The 7,205-nt window shown below is 39.3% G+C and overlaps 1 annotated feature.

Annotated features, from left to right (window-relative positions):
* Window positions 625–1,172: an enhancer, noted in NCBI's record as "OCT4-NANOG-H3K27ac hESC enhancer chr4:175507314-175507861 (GRCh37/hg19 assembly coordinates)". NCBI's record gives its function as "activates a minimal SCP1, AML or CMV promoter by ChIP-STARR-seq in naive H9 embryonic stem cells {active_cell/tissue: H9 hESC(naive)}" and the evidence as "EXISTENCE:reporter gene assay evidence [ECO:0000049][PMID:30033119]".

Here is a 7,205-nt window from a genome sequence, read left to right as displayed (position 1 = left end):
AAAGCTGTACCAGAAAGCCAATGGTGCCAGTTTTATAAGCGAATGAAATGTCATTGTGTCTTAAATTGATGACTGCCAGCTATAAGAATCACTTAGGTTTCTGGAATTCCAAAGCATAGAATTTATCTGAACCAGTGAGCACTGAGAATGGTTCTTTTGCCTTAGGTTTCTCCCCAGAAATTATATTTTCATCCATTTATTCATCCACAAACCTTCTAATTTTAATAATTTCTCTCAAAGTGGATGAAAAATATTCTATCCTATGAAACACCCTAATTTTTAGTTTTGCCATTTTCATCTACTCAACTTTAAAAGGTGTTGTTCTATAATACTTTACATATCTCAAACTATGCAATCTGAATATAACTCAAAGTTCCTGCACATTAATAAAAGTCTGCGCCCCGTCCGGGAGGGAGGTGGGGGCCAGCCCCCGGCCGGCCAGCCGCCCCGTCAGGGAGGGAGGTTGGGGGCGGCCCTCGCCCGGCCAGCCGCCCCGTCCAGAAGGTGGGGGCGCCTCTGCCCGGCCGCCCCTTCTGGGAAGTGAGGAGCCCCTCTGCCCGGCCGCCACCCCGTCTGGGAGTTGTACCCAAGAGCTCATTGAGAACGGGCCATGATGACGATGGCTGTTTTGTCGAATAGAAAAGGGGGAAATGTGGGGAAAAGATAGAGAAATCAGATTGTTGCTGTGTCTGTGTAGAAAGAAGTAGACATAGGAGACTCCATTTTGTTCTGTACTAAGAAAAATTCTTCTGCCTTGGGATGCTGTTGATCTATGACCTTACCCCCAACCTGGTGCTCTCTGAAACATGAGCTGTGTCCACTCAGGGTTAAATGGATTAAGGGCGGTGCAAGATGTGCTTTGTTAAACAGATGCTTGAAAGCAGCATGCTCGTTAAGAGTCATCACCACTCCCTAATCTCAAGTACCCAGGGACACAAACACTGCGGAAGGCCCCAGCGTCCTCTGCCTAGGAAAACCAGAGACCTTTGTTCACTTGTTTATCTGCTGACCTTCCCTCCACTATTGTCCTATGACCCTGCCAAATCCCCCTCTGCGAGAAACACCCAAGAATGATCAATAAAAAAATAAAAATAAATAAAAAATAAAAAATAAAAGTCTGGCCCTTCCCATAATAGGCATTATACTTTTCAATAAAGAAAATATGTCCATAATTTTGGTTATTGCCTTTATCTAGGTGTATCACTCAGGGTTCAGTCAAGAGAGAGAAATCTCATAAGTTATTTAAAGAGAAAATAATATACAGAATTTTAAACTACATATATATTTATTAACAAGGTCACAAAAGGATAAAAGGGGAATTGAAAGGGACCATGATGAGTAGCAATTACAGGAAATAGCTAATTAGGGCTGGGGAAACAAAGAAGAGGCTGATGTTATTAAAACCTAGAAACTTGGAGCAACCTCATGAAGGTTAAGTTCGGACTTCTGAGTTAGAAGTGCTTGCAGCTCAACTGATGGTGGTGCATGGGAGCTTGGAGAAGGGCTCCTTGGGCCTGACTCCCCAACTTTTTTTTTTTTTTTATTATGACACCTCAACTTTTGCTGACAGGCTGCCTGCTGCCTGGTGCCAAAATCTGTCGGATGAGATGTGATGGAGCTAGTCTAGCAAGTGTTGGGGAAGCTGCAAACTGGATTCAGCTGCTGCTATAAGGAGGCAGGAGTGTTGTGTCACTAGGGTGAAAAGGGCCATTAGGATGACACTCACAAGAAAAGCAAGTGTTGACTTTACATAGAACTGATGTAGGCTGGGCTGACAATAGGGTCAGAATTGCATTTAGAAAGTAGTTTGGTTTCCTGCTACACACAAAATAAATGAAAAGTCAAGGCCACAAAGTTCTAGAACATAACTCATATTGACATGGTTTTGGCCCAGATTTTCAGACACAGAGTTACCAGTCCACCATCATGGTGAAAAAGACATTATTTTTTCAGTACTAGAAAAGATTCTCATTAAATATCTGATTTTGAGTAAGGCATATTCAGATTGAATATTTCAATTGGCTTAGACATTCATGAAAATGGAAAGCCACTTAAAAGGCATGATTATCAGAGAAACAAAAGTGCAAATAATAAAATACCATCTTTACATGTAAAAGCATTGAGATTTAGAAAGCAATATTCAATCTAGTAGCGTCTGATAATAGTGGCACTCATACATTACTAATAGAATCTAGGGAATAAACTGTAAATTTCTTTCAAGAAGAGCAAAATGTTCAAACTTTGATCTTTGATTCAGTCAGTGCAGATTTACATTCTAATAAAAGGAGCTTTATACATTGATTTATATATAAAGAAATTTATTGATATACTTATTATAATAAAATGGGCAATATGTAAATACGCAATAGTAGAGACAAAATAAAATATGTGATGTTGTAACTATATGATAGACTTTTATTCAGCCATTAAAACATATTTGCCATGTTCTCAAAGACTATTGATTAATTCTGATATATACTAAATTTTAAAGTAGGATAAACTGCAAATACACAATATTATCTCATTAGTAGAAAAAAATATGCACTGTGGATGTAGAAACTAGAAAATATACATCAAAATTTAAAATAAGTTACCCATGATTTTTCACCAATTATTGGTGTTTTCAATCTGTTCATATATGTTTATATTTTTCAGTTTGCTACAGTAGACATTTACCATTTTAATGATCATATCTATTTTAAGAGTTATTACAGATTGCTTTTGAAATATGTTTATACTGTTCAAAAATGAGTGTTTTGATATCATTGATAATAACAGCTAGCACAGAAGCCTTGGCTTAATAATTTTCATCCCATCATAAAAAAAATAGGATACCCACATAAGCATGGCAAAATTAATAGAAAAGGAAGATCCTCAAACTTTAAAGAGAAAATAGTATAGCTCATATTCAACTGATATACCATTACTATCACATTATGTGATAGTATCATGTGATATCAGTTGAATATGAGCTATACTATGAGGTATATCAAAAAACAATACTTTCAGACCTCCACAGTTTGCTTAATATTCCTTTTATAATATCAAGATTTAAAACAAATTATGGTTAATGTGCTACCCATCAGAAACTGGTTATAAGCTCTTATGCTATTCATGGTGTACAGCTTTGTGATAAATATACAACATATTTTGTTGTCTTACTCTCAGTTGAGGGTCCATTGCATAGAATAAAGGATTGTTAAGAACCCATATAATCTAAAAAGAAGTTCCAGCATCTATGTGGAACTTGCTAATGAGGTTTTTTTTTTTGTTTTTTTTTTTTTTTTTTGAGACGGAGTCTTGCTCTGTCACCAGGCTGGAGTGCAGTGGCGCCATCTGGGTTCACTGCAACCTCTGCCTCCCAGGTTCAAGCAATTCTCCTGCCTCAGCTTCCTGAGTACCTGGGATTACAGGAGCCTGCCACACCACGCCCGGCTAGTTTTTGTATTTCTAGTAGAGATGGGCTTTCACCATGTTGGCCAGGATGGTCTCTATCTCTTGACCTCGTGATCCACCCGCCTCAGCCTCCGAAAGTGCTGGGATTACAGGCATGAGCCTCCGTGCCCGGCCCCATGAAACTTTTAAAAAATTATCTCGGCCGGGGGCGGCGGCTCAAGCCTGTAATCCCAGCACTTTGGGAGGCCGAGACGGGCGAATCACGAGGTCAAGAGATAGAGACCATCTTGGAGACTTCCTTTCCTACCCCCGGGCCCAAGGTCAAAGATAAGCAAAGCTAGACCCTAGTTAAAATGGTAAGGACAGATTTTCATCAGTAATAACTATGTCAATAGAAAAAACGGTCCAAAGTGAACTGAACTCCAATTTGTACAGAGATGAGCAAGTGTTTTAAAGGGAGGGTGAGGGAGTAAGGAGAGGGAACTAGAGGCTTAGCAGAGTCATGGAAGTGAAAAATTACAGAGGGTTAGTTAGTGTAAATGTCATTAGACCAGCTGTGTCCACTAACTGACAATTATCAAAGATAGGACCCTGTTCTCCCCAAGAGACTCAGAGACAGAGGCCCTTTTCTCAGGTGTTGCCTGGAACGAATAATACATTTCTTCGGCAGCCTTGAGTTTTCTCAGACAGGCACTTTAAGGGGGGCAAAGGTTATTTTGCAGATGCGACTTTGAGTTTCTAGAAACTACATGAGTGTTGTTTAAGTCTTAATAGGCCAAGGCTGAAGTCTAGTTAAGAAGAGGGCTCAGAGAAGCCTGGCTATAATCTGTATAAAAGAGAGAGTCTTTGTCTCAGCATTAAAAAACAAACAGTAACTGAGGTGATAGAAGTGTTAAGTATCTTGATTGTGGTAATCATGTCACTATCATCTATCTGTCTGTCTATCTATCTACCTAATCATCAATCTATCTATCTAATCCTCACATTGTACACCACAAATTTATACCACGTTGTCAATCAGACCTCAATAAAGCTGGGGAAAAAAGGAATGAGTCTTTGTCACCAAATCCCCAAGCTAAGTGAAAGCAATGAATGGAGGATGGCCTGGTGAGCTCTGGATTAGAGAAATGCAGGGTCTGCTACCCGATGCATGGTCGAGAAGTCTAGAGGCAAGGATTGCATTATAAGAGAAATATCAGCATTTGGAATCTGCCATGTCAGAGGGCTCCAGTAGGAGATAATAACTGCGCCAGTCAGGTAAGAAGTTTTGTGCCCCGTATCACTTCCCCATTAATCAATCTCCACTCTCACACCCAACCATTAATCAGAGGTTGCATAGTAAACACAGGGGAAGTGGAAGAAACAGATGAAGAAAGAGTGCATAAACAAAACCTACTTCTTACTGCAGATTTTCCAGAAGCAGGACTGAGGTAGGGAAAGAGAGATTTAAATCTGATCAGATATTAGCCGGGCATGGTGGTGGGTGCCTGTGATTCCAGCAGCTTGGGTGGCTGAGGCAAGAGGATCACTTGAGCCTGGCGGGTGGAGGTTGCAATGAGCTGTGATCGTGCCACTGCACTTTAGCCGGGGCAACAGAGCAAGATCTGTCTTAAATTAAGAAAAAGAAAGAAATCTGATCACATATGGATCATTTTCTATTAGGCTGCTCTTTCTATGCTGGAAACTGATGCTACTCATTAATTCCAGAAAGTAGCTGACAAAGCTGTGGAATCCTCATCCATGGATAGAAAAGAACAATTTGGCACATTAAGTCAAAAGGAGCATTTAGGGAGAAGGAACAAAGTTACTTTACGTTTGTGCCTATTGAAATCCTGCTGATGCAATAAACTGGTTGCATAAGCATTGTACACAACAACAAAAGCATTCCAAATAAGGGAAAAAATAAAAAGAGAAAAAAGGCTTATACTACAAATAATTAGACAGATTTTATTCCAAAGGCCCCCTTTTTTTTTTTATTTTTTTGGAAAATGCAACAGAAGATTTCATCAAGGGAGGCATATATTTTGAGAAAATGTCTTCTGGTTTTTAAAAATACTTGTGTATAATACCGCAGTTGCTATTAAACTTATACCCTATATAAATGTGATGGAAGATGAGGCTCAGCCATTAAAAACAAGTTTCAGGAACAAACTACAATCTATTTACACAAAAATAAAGCACGTAGACATCTGATTTTCACAGCCCAGGGGAATTTGATGTTGGATAACTGAACAGACCTGCCAGTGTTTATTATTTCCATCTATAGATTGAAGGGCATATAAATTATTTCAGTGCAGTAAAAATCCACTGTCAGGAGTATGAATGTTGAATAGGAAAGAGGAGAATGTTTTTCCAGTTTTCCAGAGGAGAAGACTTAGGTGATCCCAGAACCACTGAAGCTTGAGAAGGAGAGAGGCTGCAATTCCAACAACTCTCTTAGTGGAAAGGGGCAGCAAATCACGACTCTTGGAAGCAGCAGAGGGAGGGAGCATGTATCTCTGAAAAAGCGGCCTAGTGTCCTTTCTGGAATTAAAGCCTGGGGCCTCTGAGCCCTTTATATACAAGAATAGGAGTGTGTTGGACCATAAGACATGAAACGTCTGGATGAGACATTTAAGTAAGGTAGCGGTAACAGGAGTCATAGAGTGATAGTAATATTAATAATAAACATTATTAAGCAATGCACTAAAGACCATATAAACATCATCTTCTTAGCATAATCATGAGAGACAGATATGATCTCCATTTGACAGATAGGAAACTGAGCCTTACAGAGTATAACTGAATTAAATTTCCAACATCACATGGCTAGTAAGTTGTGGATCATGGATTTTGGCCTGTGCTGTCTTGTACCAAAATTCATACTCTTTATACATGGTACTGCTCATTATTGCATTCATTTATTTCACTCAGTCAACAAATAAAACTGATTACTTACCTAAAACTTTTCTGTTTGTTTCTGTCATAGGGAGTAAGAGGAGTATTTGGGGAAAATGAAAGTATAGTTATGAAGTTCCTAAGAAAAGCTAAAAAGGGAGTTACTGATTATACTTCACACTACCCTCCTTAGGGATGGGTTTGCACTCACTTGACCTCTCCTCCTCCTCCCTGCACCACCCACAGTGTGTCCTCATTAGCCACATGATCTAACTGTCTGTAATATTTCTTATCATATTAGTCAGCTGCAGTTTGCTTATGTTTCCTGCATGGGATTCAATGAAGATATTCTAAGATTATCATTCAGATATTCCTCTAGGAAATAAACGTTCAAGCAGATATGTACATGGTGGTGATGTTGTGAACGCACAATTGATGCACTTCTGGATCTTTGATCAACTAATTTAGGAAGGACGCGGTAAGCTGTGAAAGTAATGGCAGGGATGGAAGAGAAAGGAAGAAAGGAAGAAACTAGTATCTTTTGAAAGTTTCTTGTACCCAGAAAAGTGGTAAGTGCCTTACACTTCATATAATCTAACCATAATTCTAGGCTCCAGATAACAATATCATCTTTAGCCTCAGAGTTAATGGAGGCTCAGAGAGTAACATGCTTAAGTTCACACAGCCAGTAAGTGGAGCAGCCTGGGTACAAAGCTAAGTCTGTCGGACTCCAAAGCATTCTTTCCACCACATGAAAGAACATGTGTTCCAAAGGAGTTGTACTCAAGTTTACAGATGATCAGGAAAGGGTCATGGAGAGCATAAAACATTAGGGGTCTATTTCTAAGTTTAAAAATAATAGTAAAGTCTAGGGGATTTTAGGAAGAACCCACAGGAGACCAGGAATTTGTCTTCAACCAGACAAGGGGCCA

This window comes from Homo sapiens, chromosome 4, assembly GCF_000001405.40.
Source record: "Homo sapiens chromosome 4, GRCh38.p14 Primary Assembly".
Lineage (NCBI taxonomy): Eukaryota > Metazoa > Chordata > Mammalia > Primates > Hominidae > Homo > Homo sapiens.
The sequence above is the reverse complement of the archived record's forward strand: the minus strand, read 5'-3'. Positions and strand labels throughout refer to the sequence as shown.